At 47.7% G+C, this 24,021-nt stretch overlaps 1 protein-coding gene across 6 annotated transcripts in view, besides 5 other annotated features; it reads left to right on the top strand.

Moving 5' to 3' along the window:
- Positions 7,533–8,034: an enhancer, noted in NCBI's record as "H3K4me1 hESC enhancer chr4:185668497-185668998 (GRCh37/hg19 assembly coordinates)". NCBI's record gives its function as "activates a minimal SCP1, AML or CMV promoter by ChIP-STARR-seq in naive H9 embryonic stem cells {active_cell/tissue: H9 hESC(naive)}" and the evidence as "EXISTENCE:reporter gene assay evidence [ECO:0000049][PMID:30033119]".
- Positions 18,948–19,467: an enhancer, noted in NCBI's record as "NANOG hESC enhancer chr4:185657064-185657583 (GRCh37/hg19 assembly coordinates)". NCBI's record gives its function as "activates a minimal SCP1, AML or CMV promoter by ChIP-STARR-seq in naive H9 embryonic stem cells {active_cell/tissue: H9 hESC(naive)}" and the evidence as "EXISTENCE:reporter gene assay evidence [ECO:0000049][PMID:30033119]".
- Positions 20,975–21,841: an enhancer, noted in NCBI's record as "H3K27ac hESC enhancer chr4:185654690-185655556 (GRCh37/hg19 assembly coordinates)". NCBI's record gives its function as "activates a minimal SCP1, AML or CMV promoter by ChIP-STARR-seq in primed H9 embryonic stem cells {active_cell/tissue: H9 hESC(primed)}" and the evidence as "EXISTENCE:reporter gene assay evidence [ECO:0000049][PMID:30033119]".
- Positions 21,275–21,334: a silencer, noted in NCBI's record as "silent region_15843". NCBI's record gives its function as "represses an Ori minimal core promoter by ATAC-STARR-seq in GM12878 lymphoblastoid cells {active_cell/tissue: GM12878}" and the evidence as "EXISTENCE:reporter gene assay evidence [ECO:0000049][PMID:35858748]".
- CENPU (centromere protein U) overlaps positions 21,281–24,021 on the top strand; it is a 40,012-nt gene continuing 37,271 nt past the window's right edge. For 3 of the 6 annotated variants that reach the window (XR_007057963.1, XM_005263218.5, XM_047416163.1), the window contains exon 1: positions 21,281–22,079. Coding sequence is in view for 3 of the 6 variants with exons in the window: in XM_005263218.5 (XP_005263275.2) it covers positions 21,943–22,079 (137 nt within the window). In the remaining 3 variants the exon portion in view is untranslated. Of the gene's footprint in view, positions 22,131–24,021 lie in introns of all 6 variants that reach the window. The other 3 variants (NR_104593.2, NM_024629.4, XM_047416162.1) reach the window with 2 other exon arrangements.
- Positions 21,705–21,824: an enhancer, noted in NCBI's record as "active region_22232". NCBI's record gives its function as "activates an Ori minimal core promoter by ATAC-STARR-seq in GM12878 lymphoblastoid cells {active_cell/tissue: GM12878}" and the evidence as "EXISTENCE:reporter gene assay evidence [ECO:0000049][PMID:35858748]".

Genomic DNA, 24,021 nt, shown 5'->3' with positions numbered 1-24,021 from the left:
AGAAAGTCATGGTGTGAATAACAGAGAAGGTCCTGAAAATGCAGCTTCCTTGCTGGAAAATGTATTTCAGGCGACGCTGGCTGTAACTGGTGATTCCGTGGTGAATGTAATCCCACTATTGTATTTTAGCACTGTTTAGTCATTCTCTTACTGTAGAATTATTTCAGATGTCTCTTTATAGCAGCCAACTTTTTCTTGTTTCTTTTCTTCTATCTCCACCCTATTCCTTCTGTTACCATTTTAAAGATTTTCTTTTCCACAGGTATTAATGAATCAACCCCCTAATTTCTTCCAAGCCTGTTGTGTTTAAATCTAGTTTCCTGTCTTAAATTCTGTTTGGTGTGATGATGTGTACATCAAGCCATGTGCAGATGCTATCTTGTCCATTCTTCCACTTTTATTTATTAAGATCCTTATCTTAGCAGGGGGCAGTGGCGTGCACCTGTAGTCCCAGCTACATGGGAGGCTGAGGCAGGAGGATCCCTTGAGCCCAGGAGTTCGAGTCCAGCCTGCCCCTTAAAAGAATTTTTTTTGAGACAGAGTTTCACTCTTATTGCCCAGGCTGGAGTGCAATGGCACGATCTCGGCTCCCCGCAACCTCTGCCTCCCAAGTTCAAGCTCTTCTCCTGCCTCAGCCTCCCAAGTAATTGCGATTACAGGCGCACGCCACCATGCCCAGCTAATTTTTGTATTTTTAGTAGAGACAGGGTTTCATCATATTGGTCAGGCTAGTCTCGAACTCCTGACCTCAGGTGATCCGCCCGCCTCAGCCTCCCAAAGTGCTGGGATTACAGGCGTGAGCCACTGCACCCGGCAGGAATTTTTTTTAATGAAGATCCTTCTCATGTCTTCAGGGCTTACCTTCCTCCCCTTCTCTCCTGATGAAGTGTGAGGTTCTTAAGGCCTTTCCTTTCTCCCCTCTCCCTTAGCACTGAACACAGGGCTTAGAAACTAATAGATATTCATTAAATAAACCTTTTGAACAAATACTTGAAATTTTGAACAAAGCTCCTCTTGCAATGAGGTTGATAATAAACACTGGGCTCTTTTAAAATCATGGTGAAATTCACATAAAGTTAGCACCGTCACCATTTTTCAGTGTACAGTTCCGTGGCATTCAGGACATCCACACTGCTGTGCTGTCATCACTACCATCCAGCTGCATAAGCTCTTCATCTTGCCAGGCAAACTCTGTACCCATTAAACAACAACCCCCCGTTCTCCCCTCCCGTTAAACTCCTGGCAGCCACCACTTATTCTCTGTTTCTATTAAATTGACTAGGTACCTCATATAAGTGGAATCATACAGTGTTTGTCCTTTTGTGACTGGCTTATTTCACTCAGCATAATGTCCCCAAGGTTCATCCATGTTGTAGCATGTGTCAGAAATTTCCTTCCTTTGCAAGGCTGAATAATATTCCATTGTATGTATCAGCCACGTTTTGTTTATCCACTCATCCATCGATAGGCACTCACTCACACTCTTCTTACCCTCTGGCTGTTGTGAATAATGCTGCAGTGAACACTGGTGTACAATTCTATTGGAGTCCCTGCTTTCAATTCTTTTGTGTATATGCCCTGAAGTAGAATTGCTGCATCATATGGTAATTCTATGTTTCATTTTTGTTTGAGGAAATGCCATATTGTTCGCCATATCAACTATATCATTTTACATTTCCACCAAAAACGCACAAGGGTTCCAATTTCTCCACATCATCACTAACACTTGTTTTCTGTTATGTTCAGAAGTAGCCATCCTAATGAGTGTGAAGTGTTGTTTCACTGTGGTTTTGATTTGCCTTTCCCTGATGATCAGTCATGTCGAGCGTCTTTTCACATGCTTGATTACCATTGGTATCTCTTCTTTGGAGAAACGTCTATTCAAATCCTCTGCCCATTTTTAAAAAGTGAGTTGCTTGGGGTTTTTATGTTATTGAGCTGTGGGAGTTCTCTATATATTCTAGATATTAATCCCTAAACACTGTTTTTAATTCTTAATTTTCACTCCCCTGCTTGGGTTCAGTGCCTCCTCGACAGCACTAGAGATGTGATGGTGCTTCTTCCCTCAAATCAAAACCACCTCAAAAGCCCAGTGGTCTCTCTCCAGCCAGAACAGAAAAGAAAAAATATGATTGATTCCAAGATGGTTGTTTGCCTGGCTGTGTGGCAGTCCTTTCTTCCGTCCAGGCCCCCGGCATGCTAATACCACTTATTTCCGCAACTTCCCTGAGAGCTGAAGTCCCCAGCAGGGCCTGAGTCAGGAGGCCCAAGTGGGGAAGTGAGGGTCTGGCAAGAGCCACCCTGCTGCCCTCAGAGCTCCCCAGGGACCCCTCCCAGGCCCCAGCTCTGCCATACCCTCATTTTACATCTAAACTCAGAAAGCAATCTATTTTTAAGTCTCTTTGGCATGTGGTCATTAAATAGTTTTGTCCCACTCCCTATTTGTAGATTATTGGAATAATTAAAATGTGTTGCTGCACGCCAGGAATATTTTACATAGATTATCCATTTTATACTTACAAACTTTTGAGCCACATGCCGCCATTATTCCAGTTTACAGTTGACGAAATGGAAGTACAGCAATAATTTCATCAGCGTCATGCCCCCAGACAGAATTAGAGCTAGCCATCTGCCTCCAGAGACTGCACTCGAAACCTCATGCTGTGGATTGCTGTTCCTTCATGTGTGTTTTTGGCACTGAACTTCCTGACAAGACCTGGACTGCCTGGTGCCAACAATTCTGCCTCCAAGCTTCAGTACAAATGGTTTCGATTCCAGTCTAATGACTTTGCCTTGCCCCAGTAGAGGCTAATGCCACTTCCCAGAGTTTTATTCTGGTTTTATGACTTAGCAAAAATGAAACCCCAAATCCATCAAGAACAAAAGCTTGACAGAAACACCATTCACCAGGTGTGGTGGCACACACCTGTAATCCCAGCACTTTGGGAGGCCGAGGCAGGAGGATTGCTTGAGCTCAGGAATTTGAGACCAGGCTGGGCAATACAGTGAGACCTCATCTCTACAGAAAATAAAACAATTAGCCAGGCATGGTGGCATTCACCTGTAGTCCCAGCTACTTGGGAGGCTGAGGTGGGTGGATTCCTTGAGTCCAGGTGGTCAAGGGTACGGTGAGCTATGATCTGCCACTGCACTCCAGCCTGGGTGACGGAACAACAACATGTCTCAAAAAAACAAAACAGATACTCTGTATTAGGAGGAACATATGCATGAGTCACAGATACGCAGGTTCATGTGATTCCCCAGAACATCCACGAATCACCAAGCATGGCGATAGTAATAGCTATAGGTATTGTGGATTTGCTAACGGGCAGTATGCTATGCTGTGCTCTTTATGCTCTCATTTAATTCTCACAAAACCCCTGTTAGACGAGTGGCCGGTCCATAATGATGTATTTACCGTCAACTAAGTGCCAGGTGCTACTGTATGCTGTGGAGGTGCAGCAGTGAGTGTGGCAGACGAGATCCTTGCCCTTGGGAGGCTTACTTCCTAATAGAGAGAAGGAGGCAATTGACAAGAAAACAAACGAATACTGCAGATTGTGATGGATGCTTTGAAGAAAGCAGTTGTATTGACAGTGCCCATTTTTAAGTGTTGTGGTCAGAAAAAGGTCTCTTTGAGGAAGTGATATTTGGGGTGATAAGCCGAAGAATGAACAGAAAGCCTTGCAAAGCTCTGGAGGAAACGTTTTCCAACAAAAGAAGTAGTGGGTGCAAGGCCCTGGGGTGGGAAAGAGCTCGATCTATTCAAGGAACTGAAAGGAAGCCGATGTGTCTAAAGCATCATGAACAAGGGAAAGAGTGGACTGGAAAGAAGTTGGTGATGCGGGGGCAGGTTACCAGGCCCTGCCGCCCTAGACGGAATCTCAGTTTTCCACTGGGGTCAGGAGGAAAGGGTTTGGGGCAAGGAGTGACATTCCTTGAATTCCCCTTTTGGGAACAGCTGCTGAGGGATAAGAGGAGAGGCACAGAGACAGGTGGAGATAGTATAGTGTGCGAGGGCAGCTTGAGCCAAGTAAGTGGCAGTGGCTGGAGAAGGAATTTATTTGAAAGCAGTTTGGAGGTAGAACCACTGCATGGGAGGAACCAGGAGCAGAGAGGGCTTGGGGTATGAGCATACTGGGGTAGATGGTGGGGCTGTGCTTACTGAGGCGGGGAAGATGCCGAGGCATGTGTTTAGGAGGAGGGAATCAAGAGCTTGGACTGGAAGTTTTCCCTTGACGTTCCTGTCAGACCACCACTTGAAGATAACACACCAGTCTGCGGCTCTGACTCAGGAGACAGCTCCAGCTGGAGAGAACAGTTCAGAAAGCCATCAGCTAGAGAAGGGATTTAGAGCTGTGGGACCTTATCAGGTAACCTGGGGAAGCTGTGTAGAAAGGAAATGCAGTAGAGGAGGACCCAAGACAGAGTCCTGGGGCCCTCTGACAAGTGGGTTAAAGAAGGAGCCTGCAAGGGTGATTGAGAATTACCTGCCTTGCAGGAACGAGCAAAAACCAAGAGTGCAGTGTCCCTGCAGCCAAGGCAGAAAGGCACTGCAGGAAGGGCTTACGGGGCACAGGTTAAGGCATATGCTGTTAAAAGCATATGCTGTTAAAAGTTGCCAGGCACGGTGGCTCATGCCTATAATCCCAACACTTTGAGAGGCCGAGGCGGGAGGATTGCTTGAGGCCGGGAGTTTGAGGCCAGCCTGGGCAACCATAGCAAGACCTCTGTCTGGAGAATTTTTTTTTTAAGGTAGAATAATGTGGGGATAGTCCACTGCATTCAGCAGTGGTGGTGACCCTGCCAGTAACTGCTCCAGCAGAATAGGGAGGACAGAGCCTGCTGGAGCACATTGAGGAATGAACTCCCAGGAGGTCAGGACAAAGGGTAAATAGCTCTATTTTGCTGTGAAGAAAGTGGACATGAATGGATAACTGCAGAGAGATGTGGGGTTGAGAGGTTCGCTTTTGCTTGCAGGTAGTGGTGGTTTCTAAGATGGGAGATACTGGAGTAGAATGACATGCTGGTGGGAGTGATCCAGCAAAGAAAGAGAATGATTTAGGCAAGGGCTAGCTCGAGAGGTGGGGAGGGTTAGAACTGAACGATAGTGGCGAGACTGGCCATTGATAGGGACTCTTCCATTACAACAAGAGAAGACTTGGCAATGTGGGTTAGATGTCAGGTAGACCCATGGTGATTGGGGTGGAAAGATTAGGGAGCTATCTGAATATTTCTGTGTCTTTTTTTGTTTGTTTGTTTGTTTTCTTTGAGACAGAGTCTCGCTCTGCCGCCCAGGCTGGGGTGCAGTGGCCCGATCTCGGCTCACTGCACCCTCCACCTCCCAGGTTCAAGCGATTCTCCTTCCTCAGCCTCCTGAATAGCTGGGACTACAGGCTTCCACCACCACGCCCGGCTAATTTTTGTATTTTTAGTAGAGATGGGGTTTCACCATATTGGCCAGGCTGGTCTCGTACTCCTGACCTTGTGATCTGCCCGCCTCAGCCTCCCAAAGTGCTGGGATTACAGGCATGAGCCACCGCGCCTGGCCGGTACTTCTGTTTTTTGTTTTTGTTTGTTTGTTTAAGTATTACCTCCTTGTTACGGATGAGAAACGACTTGGAGGGATCAGCTATTTTGTCCAAGTTCAGATGGCTAGTAAGTGGCTGAGCTGGATTTTCTGACTCCAAGGCCTCTGAGCGCCTGGATCACCTTTTTGCTGTTGCTTCCCCTCTGATGCAAAGCCCAATGCCTTGAGCACCCTGAGTGCCCAATCATTGTTGAGTAAGTTCTCTTAAGCAGCCAATCAGGTGCAGGTAACTTTCCACTTTAATTATACCTGTTTGCAGTTCTATGTTAGTCATGCCATAAGGTGAAGGAAGATAAATGCCAGGGACTCTGGAAGTTCCTTTTTATGTTTTCATATTTCCAGTTGCTGTTTCATTTCACAGCAGCTTAGGCAGAAGAGAAACCTGCCACTGACCCCCATCGGTGCACAACAGGTCGATAAAGAGCAGAAGGTCCCAGTAGGGCCAGAACAGGCAAGGGCCATGGGTCAGTTCGACTGGTCAGGCCCACAGCATCCCTCCCCTTCCTCAGCCTCCAGCCCCCTCTTCTTTTATTATGAAAATGGTTTTGCAGCCCAGAATCTGACTGGAGGGAACTCTCCTTAGGCTCCCAGCATAGAGACAATCCTTCCAACTCTTGTCAGCAGAGCGGTGTTGGTGCCCAGTGCTGAGAAACCTCCACTCCAGCTTAGTCTGGAGCCTGCCAAAGGGACCCCCGACCCAGTGCCCTGCCCTGGCTGACTCTTCACCACTGTACCCTGCAGTAGATGCCTCGCTATGTGTTGGTTCAGATTAAACTCACTTCTTTACTCAGCAAGAGTAATTAGGGAAATTTTCCCATCTTATTATTCATGTATTTGGCATAAACAGCGATCTAGAGTTTTCCTTTGGACTCAGTGAACTCCTTTGCTTGGTTGACTTGCTTCAAAGGTAGAAGTCTTGCTAAAGGAATTTTGCTTCTAAGCAGTGTTCTTCAGGTGCAGAGGGATTCTGTTCTTGGCCTACAACAGGATTTCTTTTTCATAAACATATTTTGCATATAAGTTCTTAGTCACTTTTTTATTGAGACTTTTATCGGCTAAGGGGAGTGGGTTTGACTGTCAGATTTCTCTGGCCGAAATTGTCCTTGCTGGATACTAACTAACGCTGCAGTGTTTCTCCCCAAGAACTCCAGGCAGGCCTCCTGCTTTGCATGTGGCTTGTTCCAATTGGAGAGTGAGCAACAGAAGTACCAACCCCAGAGCCCAGCTGCAGGGACAGCGAAGCACCGTGCAGTGAATGGGACACACACTGAGCATACGTGAAAACCAGTTTGCTCACATTCTGCACCAGGCGACGTGTGCAGACACAGAAGGACTCTGGTTTTGGAGTCCCACACCCACTGATATTGCATTCCCCACCCTGCTGTGCTGCTGCCAGCGCCTGGGCCTCACCCGGGCCCAGCTGTCAGTGGGCCACACATTTGGGAGAAGTTCCAGGGCTGCTCCAGGCAGCCTCAGCCACCAGTTCCTGTTGCTGCTGTCTCCTATTGGCTACCGAATCTGGCCACCTCTCACCATGCTCCATTCCCACTCCTTAGGGCGGAGGCCACGTCTTGCCAGGACCATTGCACCAGCCTCTTAGTTGGCCCCCTTGCTGCCTATATTGGTCCCTGCTACTTTACCCATTCTGCAGCAAGCAAGATTTTTCTAAATCACAAGTCTTACCATGTGATTCTCCTGCTTCATTGTCCAGAGGCTTCCTATTGTTCCCTAGTCTGAACTGCTTAATGGAGTGAGAGGGGGGGGCTTCTCGAAATTGATTGTGCATCTAGTCACCTCAGAATTTTTTTGTTTTTTTTTTTCAGACAGGGTCTTGCTCTGTTGCCTAGGCTGGAGTATGTGGTATGATCACAGTTCACTGCAGCCTTGACCTCCCAGGCTTAAGGATTCTCCTGCCTCAGCCTCCCAAGTAGCTGGGTCCACAGGCGTGCACCACCAAACCTGGCTAATTTGTTGGTTTTTTTGTTTCTCACCACGTTGCCCAGGCTGGTCTCAAACTCCTGAGCTCAAGTGAGTCTCCAGCCTCAGCCCCCTAAAGTGCTAGGGTTACAGGCATGAGCCACCTTGCCCAGCCACCTGGGGATCTTAACATGAAGATTCTGATTCACTAAATCTGCAATTCTGCATTTCTAACAAGCTTCCTGGGAACACCAGTGCTGCCGGTCTTTGTGCTACACTTTGAGGAGTAGGGAACTGAAGGGCCCCTGCTTGCCTCCCTGGCCTCATTTCTTGACACTTCCCCAACTCTGTTCCAGCCATGCCTCAGTTATTCCAGCTCCCAAAGTGCATCCTGCTTTTGCTCACTGCAAAGCCTTTGGACAGGCTGGCCTCCCTCCCCAGAGCACTCTCACCCTGGCCTGGCTGCTCCTACAGGATTGGAGATGGCACTTTGCTTAGAAGCCTTCCCTGATTCTCTAAGCCCTGGAAACAAAGAGCATGTTTGTGGCCTGGGTGAGAATGATCTTTATGCTCAGTGATAAGGGGTGAGAGAGCTGGCCTATAAGGTGCAGGGCAGCAGCCAGAGGTTTCGTTCTACAGCAGGTTCTATGAAGAAAGTTGCTGCGTCACCTGGGAGGTGCCTCTGCCAGGTGCCATCTGCTGAGTCCATTCCTGCCTGAGCAGTAAGGGCTCCTGAGGTCAGGACACTGGCCAAACAAGGTCAGCCTCACAGCTGTGTGTATTCTCAGGTCAACCAAAAGTGCTGTCAGAGTGAGCAAGTTCATTACAGAGCTGTGAAAACCTTTTTAAGAAAGTTCTTTTCCAACCACAGCTTGAGGGAGAGTTACAGACACAAGACTCTGCTGTAGACATTTTACTTCTTATTTTTCTGTCCTTATTTCCTTAAAAAAAAAAACACCTTTTCTCTGGGATGTCCTTCCATTTTCTCTTTCTCAGGTTATGCACTCGGTTTTTTACATCTGTTTCAGTTATAAAATTACTGCTTATGCAGGTTGGAAGTCTGCCATTCCTTGGCTAAAGAAATCCTGAATTTTGCTAGCATGCTCCTGCCAGGATCCCAGCACCAGACTCTCCTGACCCTTTGGGGAGCTGAGAATGGAATCTGAAGCATGAGACATTGCATGGTCATGATGTACTGACCAGACCTGTTTAGCCATGTGATTGCAGCTTGGGTAGGAGCAGTGCCAGTTAGGTCTGGAAAAACTAAAACAACATTAGTTACACAGCAAATAAGTTTAGCAGCCGGGTAACAGCACCCAGGAAATGTTGAAAAGCATGTGACATAAGAAGAGATCTAATGTCGTTGTTTGCTACAAAAAATCTTTCTGCCCTCTAACTGTAAAAGGCGAGGAGTACTTCCTTTCTGGATTTTATTTCCTCTTTTTCTTAAAGGGAACATCCAAAAGAAATGATCCTCCTCTGCTCCCCCATGCCTGCCCTCCTGGGATGTGTTAAGTCTGTTTTGTAGTGTTATAGTTACAGAGGTTGAACAACGGGTCTGCTTAAAACAGATAACTTCATTAAACTGCCAAGTTGAGTGAGATATTCCTGTGTACTCAGTAATTAGTAACTGCTGTAGGAAGTTATATAAGAAAGTGGGAAAATTTGAGACATCAGTTCTTTTCCTCTCCGTCATAGAGAATCATACTCTGCCTTATGGGAAATTGACAGGAATGGACTGGATAAATTGTGGAAGAATATCATTTATGTGAAAGAGGAAAAGGGTTAAGCAAGGGCAACTAAAATGTCTAGCCTTATTCATCTTCTTGAACTGACTTTGAAGCAGTATTTACAACGTCTGAAAGTGAGGCGCTCTGTGCTCCAATGACATCGTCGAATCTCCAGGCCCTTTCTTCATCTGCCCCCTGGTGGACCCAGTGCTGAAAAGAAAATTCAACAGAAAAGCTCCCTGGAGAAAAGCTTGAGTCCAATAAGAAATGGCACCCCTTCTGTGTATCGAGGGGCCTCTACATTCTTCTCTTATCTTCATGAGAATCCTGTAAGATACCAAATAATATTCTCACTTAAAATCAAGCTAATGAGGCCAGGCGCGGTGGCGGACACCTGTCATCCCAGCACTTTGGGAGGCCAGGGTGGGTGGTTCTCGAGCCCAGGAGTTTGAGACCAGCCTGGACAACACGGCAAAACCCTCTCTGTGAAAAATACAAAAATTAGCCAGGCCTGGTGGCATGTGCCTGTAATCCCAGCTACTCGGGAGACTGAGGCAGGAGGATCGCTTGAGCCCAGGAATTTGAGACTGTAGTGAGCTATGAAGTCATCACAGCACTCCAGCCTGAACAACAGAGACCTTGTCTCAGTCCAATCAATCAATCAAAATCAAACTAACAATTCCAAAACATGGAATTCATATATACATCAACCTCCATCACAGGGAAGATATAGTTCCACATGGAAGTGTCCAGGCCCAAGCACTCAGTTTATCCCAAGCCTCCCTAAAGTTTTGTCATTATTTTCTATAGTTGGTATAATCAAAGCAATAGTTTTTTTTTTCCATTTCCCAAATATGAAAGCATATAACTTAAGGACCCACCACCTAGGTGTCCTCCAGTGTCCTGAAGCCTCTGGTCCTCTGGTGTCCCTGACGTTCCTTGCAGTTGCTCACATTGCTCCAGGTCACCTTTAGGACTCCTGACCCCGCTGCCTCCACTCCTGCGTTTTCAGCCCATCCCTTCCAACAAGCATGCTTCACCCCACCCTGAACACTATCTCGTTAATGGCAGCGAATCCACACAGGTCTGCAGCAACCTCAGTTCTTGCTTCCTCAGAGGAAAGAATTTGACCAAGGGGCATAAGGCAGAGCGAGAGACAGAGGCAACTTTTAGAGCCGAGTGAAAGTTTATTTAAAAGTTTTAGGCCGGGCGCGGTGGCTCACGCCTGTAATCCCAGCACTTTGGGAGGCAGAGGCGGGCGGATCACGAGGTCAGGAGATCGAGACCATCCTGGCTAACACGGTGAAACCCCGTCTCTACTAAAAATACAAAAAATTAGCCGGGCGTGGTAGCGGGCGCCTGTAGTCCCAGCTACTCGGGAGGCTGAGGCAGGAGAATGGCGTGAACCCGGGAGGCGGAGCTTGCAGTGAGCCGAGATCGCGCCACTGCACTCCAGCCTGGGCGACAGAGCGAGACTCCGTCTCAAAAAAAAAAAAAAAAAAAAAAAAAAAAAAAGTTTTAGAGCAGGAACAAAAGGAAGTAAAGTACACTTGGAAGAGGGCCAAGCGGGGACATGAGAGATTCAAGTGCTGTGTGGCCTTTGACTTGGGGTCTTATACGTTAGCATGCTTTGAGGGAGGGAGCGGTGTTACCTCTCCCTGGATTGTTCCCTTGGGGTGGGCTGTCCTGATGCGCAGTGGCCTGCCAGCACGTGGGAGGAGCCATAAACGCAACGTGTTTACTGAAGTTGTGCACATGCGCAGTTGAGGCGTTCTCCCATCTACCAATTAAACACCATCATTTTGCCTCTTACTGTGTATGCTTGAGCTCACTCACCCAAATCCTGAGATCTTATCCGGAAGCTGCTAATCACCAGCTTCAGATATTTTCTATTGGGAAATTGCCTTTCCCTCGTGCTGGCTGTGACCGATTATTATTGGTCTAAAATAAACAGTTTAACAGCCGCCTGACCATCCCCTGATGGCTGCCTGACTTTCCTGGTTGTAGGGGCCCTCTCCTGCCCTGCTCACGTCTGCCTGACTACCTACTGTAAGGATCCTTCCTTCCTCACCGCCCCTTAGACACACAAGGCTGTGGAGTTTAGCAAACTTTACTAACGGTTAACTGGTGGAAAGAGACCAGCACAACACAGGCACCATCTTAAAATGGAAAACACTGGCCATGGCTTCCCTAAAAAGTAACCTATTGTTCTCCTTGCGGGGAGTTTCTTTTCTGATTGGTTGGAATCTGCTGGGCATGGGGAGTTTCTTTTCTGATTGGTTGGAATCTGCTGGGCACCTCCTCTCCCCTCTACAGACCCTTCTCCCCTATGGCCAGCCTCCAGCCCCCACATTTTTATCAAGGGCTTATAATGAGCCTTTGTGTTCTCTTCCTGCCACCCAAACCAGGCTCCCCACCTGGCTTTCCATATCTACAAGCGCGCAGAGATGCTGTGGTTTCCATCCTCAACAACACAAATCACTACAGAAACTCTGAGATGGCCCTTCTGGGTCAGAATCATAGGTAGGGCTCTCACACAACCTCTGCCCAGAGCACCCCGGGAGTCTCCTTCCTGTGATAGCATCCACTGGCTTTATCAGGTTACCCCGCCCCAGGCATCCTGGTAGACCCCTTTCCCTCTTCCCTCTGCCCTCCCCTCACCCAAGCTGAGAATCATTGCTCTAAGCTGACAGTCTAACTGCGGAAGCAGCATGGAACAAAGGCAGGAGTGGGTTGGAATCTAGCTTCCCTATGAATAGCTCTACAACCCTGGGTGAGTTTCTGTCACGGATTTATCTGTTTCCCCAGCATGCATTTCCCCCTTTCCCAATTTATAGCCCCCTACTCGCCACTCCAGTTCCAGCGGGAATCAAGTGGTCCTAGGAAGCTAATGAGTGTATTCCATTTCCCTGGCCACAGGGATTGGTTCAGGGACAGTGTGATGGTAAATGTTAGGTGTCAACTTGGCTATGCCATGATGCCCAGTTGTTTGGTCAAACACCAGTCTAGGTATTGCCAGGAAGGCATTTTTTAGGTGTGATTACTATTTAAATCAGTAGGCTTTCACTGAAGCACATTACCCTCCATAATGTAGGTGGGCCTCACGCAATCTGTTGAAGGCCTTAAGACTGAGGTTTCCTGAAGAAGGAATTCTCCTCAATCCTGCAACACAGACACTCTGCCTGAGTTTCCAGGCTGTTGGGCCTGCTTTGTGGATTTTGGACTCCTGATGGCAACGTCAACTCTTACCTGAATTTCCAGCCTGTGGGCCTGTTCCTAGAGATTGCAGACTTGCCAGCCTCCACATTTGCATGAGCCAGTTCTTAAAATCTCTGCCCGCTGTCCCCATATGTACATTGGTTCTGCTTTTCTGGAGAGCCCAAATACAGGTAGGTGTGGCAGCCCTTTTTCTGGGAAGGCTGGGAGATACGGAGTCTCTTTCCCTGAATGGTAGAATTCAGACAGACATGGAATGGCTGCCGGGTTTCAAGCTCTGGACCAGGCTCCCAGTGTGTCTGGAATTGGTGGGTTCTTGGTCTCACTGACTTCAAGGATGAAGCCACTGTAACTGTAACTGAGTGTTACAGTTCTTAAAGGAGGCATGTCTGGAGTTTGTTCCTTCTGATGTTTGGATGTGTTTGGAGTTTCTTCCTTCTGGTGGGCTCGTGGTCTCGCTGGCTCAGAAGTGAAGCTGCAGACATTCGTGGTGAGTGTTACAGCTCATAAAGGCAGTGTGGACCCAAAGAGTGAGCAGCAGCAAGATTTATTGAAAAGAGCGAAAGAACAAAGCTTCCACAGTGTTGAAAGGGACCCAAGCATGTTGCCACTGCTGTTCTGGCAGCCTGCTTTTAATCCTTTATCTGGCCCCACCCACATCCTACTGATTGGTGCATTTTACAGAGCGCTGATTGGTCCATTTTGACAGCGTGCTGATTAGTGCGTTTACAATCCCTGAGCTAGACACAAAAGTTCTCCAAGTCCCCACTAGATTAGTTAGACACAGAGCACTGATAGGTGCATTTATAAACCTTGAGCTAGACACAGGGTGCTGATTGGTGTATTTACAAACCTTGAGCTAGACACAGAGTGCTGACTGGTGTATTTACAATCCCTTAGCTAGACGTAAAGATTCTCCAAGTCCCCACTAGATTAGCTAGACACAGAGCACTAATTGGTGCATTTACAAACCTTGAGCTGGACACAGGGTGCTGATTGGTGTATTTACAAACCTTGAGCTAGACATAGAGTGTTGATTGGTGTATCTACAATCCCTTAGCTAGACATAAAGGTTCTGCAAGTCCCCACCAGATGAGCCAGATACAGAGTGCTGATTGGTGCATTCACAAACCTGAGCTAGACACAGAGTGCTGATGGGTGCATTTACAAACCTTGAGCTAGACACAGAGTGCTGATTGGTGTATCTACAATCCCTTAGCTAGACATAAAGGTTCTCCAAGTCCCCACTAGACTCAGGAGCCCAGCTGGCTTCACCTAGTGGATCCCACACCAGGGCTGCAGGCGGAGCTGCCTGCCAGTCCCGCGCCATGTGCCCGCACTCCTCAGCCCTTGGGTGGTCGATGGGACTGGGCGCCACAGAGCAGGGGGTGATGCTTGTCGGGGAGGCTTAGCCGCACAGGAGCCCACGGTCGGGGGGAGGCTTGGGCATGGCGGGCTGCAGGTCCCGAGCCCTGCCCTGCGGGGAGGCAGCTGAGGCCCGATGAGAATTCAAGGGCAGTGCTGGCAGGCCGGCACTGCTGGGGGGCCCGGTGCACCCTCCACAGCTGCTGGCCCGGGTGCTAAGCCCCTCACTGCCCGGGGCTGGTGTCACCAGCCGGCCACTCCTGAGTGTGGAGCCCACCGAGCCTACGCCCACCCGGAACACACACTGGCCCGCGAGCGCCGCACAGCCCCAGTTCCTGCCTGCGCCTCTCCCTCCACATCTCCCTGCCAGCAGAGGGAGCCGGCTTCGACTTTGGCCAGCCCAGAGAGGGGCTCCCATAGTGCAGCGGCGGGCTGAAGGGCTCCTCAAGCATGGCCAGAGTGGGCGCTGAGGCTGAGGAGGCACTGAGAGTGAGCAAGGGCTGCCGGCACGCTGTCACCTCTCAATCCCCACTCTAAACAGGACACCCCAACTGATGTTGGGAATTTGGCCGATGACCACTCTAGCTACTTCCTGCTGGATAGGGGTGATGAAGGGGCCCTGCAGTTGTAGTGTCCTCCAGAGGGGAGCTCTCTAGGCCAGTAAAAGTGCCAGTGGACTGGTCCAGGGGTCCTCGGTAGAAGTTGTTAGTTGAACTCATTTGGGGTTCCATTTGTAAGACCATCTGTAGCTTGACGGCCTCAATTCTAGAGGAAACAAATTTGACAAGGAGGTTAAAAATACAGAGCCCGAACGTGAGTAACAGCAAGATGGCTGCCACGGGACCTTGAAAGGGGAGAAGCCACATTGCCCAACTCCAGAGGTTGGTATAAGAATTTGAAAAGCATTGCCTGATTTCAGAAGCCTTTTCCTGTAAACGCCGGGCGGCATCTCGTACTATCCCTGACTGGTTAGTGTAAAAACAACACTCTTCCCCTAAGAAGATGCAGAGTCCTCCTTTCTCAGCAGTGAGGAGGTCTAGGCCTCAGCGGTTTTGGAGAGTCTGTGCTGCCAAAGAGTCTATTTGGGATTGTAGAGTAAGAACAGATCCGTTATTTCTTGCAAACTGTCTGAGAAATCCTTTGAGAGTGTGTGGTAGTAGGACACTGAAGTAGATAAACCAGCTATTCCAGTTCCTGTAGCAGTAGCCATTCCTAACCCTATAAGTAGGGGTATTAGTTGTATGGCTCTGCACTGATGGACTTGAACTTTGAGGGGTATTGATAGAATCTGATTTCCTGGGCAATGTTAATGTTGGGACTTAGAAAGACTAAGATGCAGGTGCTGGTCCAGTTAGTGGGGAAGCAGATGTAGGTCGATGTTCCACATAGGAAGAATATGCCTTGGCTGGGTAGACAGAACTTTACCCTGACTTTTAAAGGAATAGGGTACTATGTTTTTTCTTTACTATTTCTATCTCTCTCTTTCTCTGACTTCTTCTTTGTCTCTCTCTTTCTCTCTGACTCCCCCTTTGTCTCTTCCTCTCTTTCCTGTTTTGTCTCTGTTTCTTCCTCTCTCTCTCTCTGACTTCCTGTCTCTTTCTCTCTTTCCTTTGACTCCTTCTCTTTGTCTCTCTTTTTCTTCCTCTCTCTCTGACTTTCTGTCTCTTTCCTTTCTACTGGTCTTTCCCTGCCTCTGCCAGCTGCTTATGCTGCTGTTCTCCCCTCTTCTTCCCCTTTTTGATGGCTTTGGCAGTGTAAGACTGCCACCTCCTTGGGTTCCTGCACTGCATGCAATAACTCTATAATTTCCTTGTGGTATTTAGTGGGGGTTCCCCAGAGGTTAGGAACTCCCTTTCTTTCCATATTGCAGCATGGGCATGTAGGATTAGATAAGCATACTTGCTATCTGTATACACATTTATTCTTTTTTCTTTTCCCAGTTCTAAGGCTCGGGTAAGGGCCACTAGTTCTACTAACTGGGAACTCGTCCCTGGGGGAAGAGGCTTACTTTCAAGTATGGTTACATCACTATGGTGTAACCTGCCTTTCGTATCCCATTCTCCACAAATGAACTTCCATCGGTATGTAGGTTAAGGTCAGGATTAGCTAAGGGGACTTCTAAGAGAGCATCTCAGGTGGCATAAGTCTGGACTATAATTTGTTGGCAGTCATGCTCGATTGGTTCCCCATCCTCTGGGAGAAAAGTAGCAGGGTTGAGGGCCACGCACGTGCGTATTTGAAGCACCGGTCCCTCAAGGAGTAGCGCCTGGTATCTAAGTAGGCGGTTGTCTGATAGCCATAAACTTCCTTTGGCACCTAGTATGCCATTTACATCATGAGTAGTCCAGACAGCGAGATCCTTTCCTGGTGTTATTTTGATAGCCTCTGACACTAAGATGGCCACTGCTGTAACTACCCTTAAACAGTGAGGCCAGCCTTTTGCTACTACATCAATTCCTTACTTAGGTATGCCACTGGTTGTGGGGTTGTCCCACGAGTCTGAGTATGGACTCCAAGAGCTATCCCAGCTATCTCTGTGACATATAAAGAGAAGTTTTGTCCTGTGGGAAGGCTTAAAGCTGGAGCTTGTACTAGGGCCTGCTTTAGGGTTTTGAAGGCTGTTTCTGCCTCTGGTTCCCATTCTACTAGATGAGTATTTGCCCTCTGGGTCTCCTTAATTAGAGTATAGAGGGGCCTGGCTATCTCACTGTATCCGGGGATCCATAGTCAGCAAAAGCCGGTGATTCCAAGGAACCCCTGCAACTGTTTTAATGTCTTAAGGTGAGGATAAGCCAGTATAGGCTGTATTCGTTCCTTGCTGAGGGCCCTGGTCCCTCTGGCTAAGATTAGGCCTAGATACTTGACCTGTTGTAGGCAAGGCTGGGCCTTTGACCTAGACACCTTGTACCCTTGATTAGCTAGAAATTTCAAGAGCTCTAGAGTAGCCTGCTGGCATGAGGCTTCCGAACTGGTAGCCAAAAGTAAATCATCCACATACTGAAGGACCAGAGTGCCTGGACTTGAGAAGTGGCATAGATCTTGGGCCAGTGCCTGACCAAACAGATGAGGTCTATCCCCAAACCCTTGGGGCAAGACTGTCCATGTAAGTCGGGACGTGTGGTCTGTGGGATCCTCAAAGGCAAAGAGAAACTGGGAGTCAGAGTGCAGGGGAATACAGAAGCAGGCATCCTTGAGCTCCAGAACCGTGAACCATTCTGCTTCCTCTGGTATTTGAGAGAGCACAGTATAGGGGTTGGGTACAACTGGATATAGAGGAATTACTGCCTCATTGATGAGTCTAAGATCTTGCACTAGTCTCCACTGACCATTCAGTTTTTATACTCCTAGAATTGGGGTGTTGCAGGGACTGCTGCATTTCCTTACTAAACCTTGAGCTTTTAAATATTTAACAATATTCTGTAATCTTTTATTAGCTTCAGGCCTTAAGGGATATTGCCTTTGTTAAGGAAAAGTGGTGGGATCTTTTAACCTGATTTGGGCTAGGCGGGCATTTTTTTGCCCTTCCAAATTGTCCTTCCAATGCCCAGACTTCAGGGTTGATTCTCTCCTCAAGTAGGGGACAACAAATGGGTAACTTTTTCCCCATATTCATGTAGATAATAGCTCCAGCCTTGGCTAATATATCCCTCCCTAATAAGGGTGTGGGACTTTCAGGCATAACAAGAAAGGCATGTGAAAAGAGCAAAGTCTCCCAATTACAACTGAAGAGGTGGGAGAAATACCTGGTTACAGGCTGTCCCAGGATTCCTTGGATGGTAACAGACCTTGAGGACAGTCGTCCAGGACAGGAGATTAACACTGAGAAGGCGGCGCCAGTGTCCAGGAGGAAGTCAATTTCCTGGCCCTCAATAGTTAAACGTACCCATGGCTCAGTGAGGGTGATGACATGTGCTGGTGCTTGCCCTGGGCACCCTTAGTCCTGTTGTTGGATCATCTGGTTAGGGGCTTCTGACCCAGGGAACCTTCGTCCTCTGGGGCAGTGCACCTTCCAGTGATTGCCTCGGCATAGCAGACATGGACGAGGGGGCAGCTTATTTCTCATTGGACAATCTTTTTTAAAGTGTCCTAGTAAACCACACTGATAACAAGCCCTACCAGGTGATTGGCCTGCTCCATTTTCTGTCCTCTCTGAACCACCAAGGTTTGTTTGTCTGAGGGCCATGACTAAGGCTGCAGCCTTTCTCTGATCTCGCTTTTCCTTTTGGGCCTGTTCCTCTTGGTCCCTATTATAGAACACCGAGGTTTCCAGGTTTAATAATGCCTCTAGATTTTGTTCAGGGCCCAGGGCTTGCTTTTGGAGCTTTCTCCTGATATCTGCAACTGATTGGGTAATAAACTTATCTTTTAGAATCAATTGACCCTCGAGTGATTCGGGTGACATGGGAGTGTATTTTCATAAGGCCTCCCATAGCCACTCAAGGAAGGCGGAAGGATTTTCTTCCTTTCCCTGAGTTATGGTGGACATCATTGAATAATTCATGGGCATTTTTCTAATTCTCCTTAGTCCTTCTAAAACACAGGTCAACAGATGTTTACAACTCCAGTCCCCATGATCTGAGTCAAGGTCCCAGTGGGGATCCATACTGGGGATGGCTTGCTGACTGGTAGGGAATTTGTCCCTTTCTTCGGCTGTCATTCTATCATTTACTTGACTAAGATACCAGGTATCTCCAAACTCTCAGGCTGCAGCTAAAGCCGCATTCTTTTCATTAAAGGCCAGGGTTTGATCTAACAGTAGCATGACATCTCTCCAAGCGAGGTCGAAGGTTTGCCCTAGACCCTGTAGGACATCTGTGTACCTATCAGGATCATCTGAAAACTTCCCCAGGTCTGCCTTGATCTGCTTTAAGTCAGAGAAGGAGAAGGGGACATGTACCCGGGTTGGGCCAAATTCCCCTCCCCCTACAGCTTGAAGGGGACATAGCCGATAACCTGGGGGTTTTTGTGGTCCTTTGGAGATTTCTTTGCTTATTTCCTTCTGGATAGGGGAGATTAGAGAGGATTATCATTAATAGGAAGGGGAGCTATAGGGAGGCTAGGATATGGGAGTAAGCTGAGAGGTCCTCTTGTGGGATGTAAATTGTAAGCTTTGCATAGTTGTGTATTTTCCCTCAATGAAAAGAAAGCTCGGACATAAGGTATTTCACTCCATTTGCCTTCCCTCTTACAGAAAAGGTCAAGCTGCAGGATACTATTATAATTTGTACTTCCCTCAGGTGGCCATTTTTCCCCATCAGAGAGAGAATATTGGTGCCAAGCTGCAGGGCAGACCACCTCTTTTACAGGGTTTATGGGTCAAATTGGTGCCAACGGCTTAGGATGCATTTCAAGGGTGAGCCTGTTGATGCCTGAGTGTTTCCCATCTGAAAGACAAAACCACCCGCGGTTTTGGTTTGTTTTGCTTGTCCCCCTGCCCAAGAACCCACAATGGTCCCTGGACCCTGCTGATCGGAATAGTTGCACTCACCGACGCAGCAGCAGAAACACTAGTTTTCCTCCCAGACCACATGGAGGACCAAGGAAGGTCGGATTTAGTGGCCCTTACCAACACATTCTCGAAAAACTGTTAAGGGTCCTAAGCATTCTCCTGTTAGTATTGGGACTTTATCCCTGTCCTATAAAGATGTTATGCCCCAAAAATGAAGTGGAGGGCCATACCCTGAGGGAGGGAAGGGATGTCCAAGGCTGGAAGAGTGACACCTTTTATCTTCACTTACATGAATAGGAAGGATACAATTTCTGAGGCTCCTCATAGCATACCTTCAGGAATAGCTTTTGTTAGGCCTGCTTGTCTGAGGAGGGATCCTAAAATTCCAGAAAAGATAGTCCCCCCCACCAAGATTGTGCCATTGCACTCCAGCCTGGGTGACAGAGCAAGACTCCATCTTGAAAAAAAAAAAAGAAATTAAAATAAAAAATATAAATAGGCCGGGCGCCGTGGCTCACGCCTGTCATCCCAGCACTTTGGGAGGCTGAGGTGGGCAGATCACGAGGTCAGGAGATCGAGACCTTCCTGACTAACACGGTGAAACCCCGTCTCTACTAAAAATACAAAAAAATTAGCCGGGCGTGGTGGCGGGCCCCTGTAGTCCCAGCTACTTCGGAGGTTGAGGCAGGAGAATGGCATGAACCCGGGAGGCAGAGCTTGCAGTGAGCCAAAATCAGGCCACTGCACTCCAGCCTGGTCGACAGAGCAAAACTCCAACTCAAAAAAAAAAAAAAAAAAAAAAAAAGAACTTACTCATGTAACCAAATAGCACCTGCACCCCAATAATTTATGGAAAAATAAAATAAATAAAAAATAAAAGCAATAGCTTTAGTAAGAAAGGGCACTTGCAGCATACCTACCAAATATCATATAAAGTTTAGAAACATACAATAATCAATACATTATTTGGGGCTATATCAAGGTAGAAAACCACAGGAATGATACACATAAAATCAGAAGAGTGGTTATTCTTTGGAGGAGGAGGATACCATTCAGAGGGGTACCCAAGAGTTATATATAAAAATGATCCATATCCCCATGTAGTGCTGGTTACACGGATGTTTGTTTTTATCTTTACATTACACGTTATATTCTTTCATATGCATGAAACGTAATATTTTTGTCGTAGTAAAATATACATAACAAAATTTAGCATTTTAACCGTTTTTAACTTTACAGTATTGTGGCATTAAGTACCTTCACCTTGTGCATCCATCCACCACTATTTCCAGAACGTTTTCATCATCCCAAACTGCTTTTGGTATCATATCCAAGAAATCATACCAAGTCCAATGTTATGAAGTTTTTGCTCTGTTTTCTTCTAAGAGTTTTAATTTTAGCCTTTATAGTTAGGTCTTTGATTCATTTTGCGTTAATTTTTATACGCGGTGTAAGGTAAGGGTTCAATTACATTCTTCTGCATTACACATTTTTAAACACAAACAAAATAAAAGAACAAAAGGAACCCTGTCCATTTACAAATGAAGGTATTGGGATAGCGGTAAAGTAACATGCTAAGCTCAGACAGCTGATAAAGGCAGCAGGGGCTGGAAGCCAAATCCTGTAGGCCTGGAAAGACGACTGCGGCCTCAGCGACAACAGCTGCGAACACGGGTCTCCACCCACCCTCTTACCTGCCCACGACTCAGGGACACTAGCTCCTCCCCTTTCCCCACCCCACAAGGGGCCGTCCCACGTGGCTCCCGGGCTTTCTGGCGCCGGAAAACTGGCGATGCGGGTGGGCGCGAAAGCCCGGAAAACTTTGGCATGTTTTGGACCGTAGGTAACTGGTTGTGCGGCATGGACTCCAGCTCCGTTGCGCTGTAATAACCAGACCCAGTTTTCCCTCACGCTCCAGGCCAGGGAGGAGCCCGGGGGCCGCTCAGGAAGTCCTGCGCACGCGCGCGTGCTCGGCCCGGATTGGCTGTTCGGAGCGGCGAGGGGCTTGGCGGGAGCTTCCAGTCGCTCGAGAGCGGAGAGCGGCACCATGGCCCCGCGGGGGCGGCGGCGGCCGCGGCCTCACAGGTCTGAGGGGTAAGTACTGCCGACCCTCGGGAGCGCGGGGCCGGAGACCAGCTTGAACTGCTTCCTCGCCTGCCGTGGTTTGCGCCTCCCGGCGCTGTTGGTGCTCCACTGTGGAGGTCGCCCGAGTGGCCAATCGCCCGGGTCCCCGGCTTCCTCCTCAGTCTAGTGGGGATAACAGTGATCCCACCTGCACGGGCCTGTCGGGGCCTAACACTGCCTGGCGGGTGGGAGAGACGTCAGCCAGTGTCGTGTCGTTTTGTGGGGAGGGGGAGTGCCGTCCAAAGTAGTGAGTCTCAAAGTGCTAGCTTGAAAGCAAAATATTCAGCAAATACGTATTGCCTGCGGTTTGCCAGACTTTGTTAGTGGAGTTTTATTCTCTGACTGGGAATCAGTTTTCTTATTTTGAAGACCCTGGTGTTTTCTTACTGCAAACCACAGACCGTAAACTGGAGCATAAATCCGGCTGGGGGACCGAGCTGCCGCTTGCGGTTCTCCAGGATGGCTCGAGCGGTTTTTGTTTACCAAAGAAAGCGAGCGTTTGGTCGGTTGCAAAACGCGCTCTAGAATGCTGGTCGCTGATTCGTTGGCGAATGGCCATCCAAGGCCCGGCCTGGATCTGGCGGGAAGGGTCTCGGCTTGCTGCAGACGGTGCACAAAGCCATACGCCAAGACGATCTGAAGAGAACAGGAGTTCCCCCGGGCCTGGGAAGGCTGCCTGGAGGAGGAGGTGCTGGTAGATGCGGGGTTAGGGTGGAAAAGCTGGAGCAGGACACCGCAGGTGGGTGGGGAAACCGAGACCAGACTTCTGTGGCCAGTGGAGGAGAATGAAGACTCCCCCAGTGCAAAAAAGGATTAGAAGAGAATGTCAGCCTTCAATGTCAGCTGAAAAGAGTTTATCTGAAAGGCTAGTGGTTTTTGTTGTCTTTTTTTATTTTTATCTTTTAACATTTTTGGGTTTGAGACTCATGAAATCTGTTCATGCCTCCTCCCAAAACACACTTACGCACATACAACAGAATTTTTTTTTTTTTTTTTTTTTGAGACGGAGTCTCACTCTGTGGCCCAGGCTGGAGTGCAGTGGCGCAATCTCCGCCTCCCAGGTTCAAGCGATTTTCCTGCCTCAGACTCCAGAGGAGCTGGGATTACAGGCGCTCGCCCCCACGTCCAGCTAATTTTTGTATTTTTAGTAAAGACGGGGTTTCACCATGTTGGCCAGGATGGTCTTGATTTCCTCACCTCGTGATCCGCCCTCCTGGGGTTCCCAAAGCGCTGAGATTACAGGCATGAGCCACCGCGCCTGGCCCAGAAATTTTACCTGTGGGTTGTCACAGAGGTTTCTGTCTCTCAGAAGCCCCACCTTGACTCCAGCGTAAGGCAAGGAGGAACCTTGACTTTTTTTCCCCCCCAAGAAAGGACAAGACAGCTCAAAGAGTTTAGGTTAAGAAGTTTATGTGGTCTAGTGTGTAGCTGGGTTTCTGTTACCTGGCTATGTGACCCTTGATAAGTCACTTAAATTTTCTGAATCCCGGAATCATCATCTATAAAATTGCCATAAAACCAATACTTGTCTTACCTGCTTCCTTAGGTTTCATGAATTAAATAAATAAATCGTGAACTTGTTAGAAATGCAGAATCCCAGACCTCACCCCAGAGGGACTGAATCAGACACTCCTGGGGTGGTGCCAAGCAACCTGTTCAACAAGCCCTCTTGAGAATTTTGATGACACTCAAGTCTGGGAACCACCGCTCTGAACAGTTTTCTAACTTTTTTTTTTTAACTGTGATTCACAGTAATGATGTTTTACATCACACTTAGTACACGTGTGCACACATCCACACATAAAACAAAAGGCTTGTGAACATAGTATATCCAGTGCAATGCTTCATTTTATATTTTCCTTTTTTATTGTTTGTTTTTTTAAAAATGCTGGCCTGGCAATCTTAAAAGACATTATAGGACAATTGATGTGATTTGGGTATGGACTGTAGATTAGATTATGGTATCAGTGTTAAATTTCTTGATTTTAGAAATTGTACCATGAATATGCAGTATAATGCCCTCTTAGGAAAGACATATTGTAGTATTTAGGGGTGGAAGTGCACAGTATCTCCAGACACACACACACACACACACACACACAGAGCACATGAGTAAAGGGCATACAGAAGGTCCTTGTGCTATGTTTGCAACTTTTCTGTGAGCTTGAAATTATATCAGATAAAAGGATACTAAAACATTGGTTTAGACTAAGCTGATTTTGCTGTCTACAAATGAGAAAAATATGGCTGCAATCTGCATGGCATATTTTAAAGTCTAATTATGTACTGTATTCTCCTGGAGTATCCCCCCCGTACCCTTGTACGATGCCTGGTTGGTGGAGGATAGTCTGTACATATTCACTGACTGCTGGCACTATTATTAGTAATAATGATATATAATCCTGCCACTGTTATTTCCCGTTTTTATTCTTGTCACCATTGTTACATTTGTTTTCTTGAAGCTTGTTGAAGATATATATACAACTTTATCATTTGAAGCTGTGGTCCAACTGAGAGAGTGTCAAGGGAGGTCGAGGGCAGGCCCTGGATTTGAACTGATGTAAATTTTAATGCAGGCTTGTCTCCCTCCTGGCTCCGTGTTGCTGTGGGCAAGCACACATCTGTAACAT

This window comes from Homo sapiens, chromosome 4 (genome assembly GCF_000001405.40).
Source record: "Homo sapiens chromosome 4, GRCh38.p14 Primary Assembly".
Lineage (NCBI taxonomy): Eukaryota > Metazoa > Chordata > Mammalia > Primates > Hominidae > Homo > Homo sapiens.
Note: the sequence above shows the minus strand (reverse complement) of the source record. Positions and strands in the feature narration are given on the sequence as shown.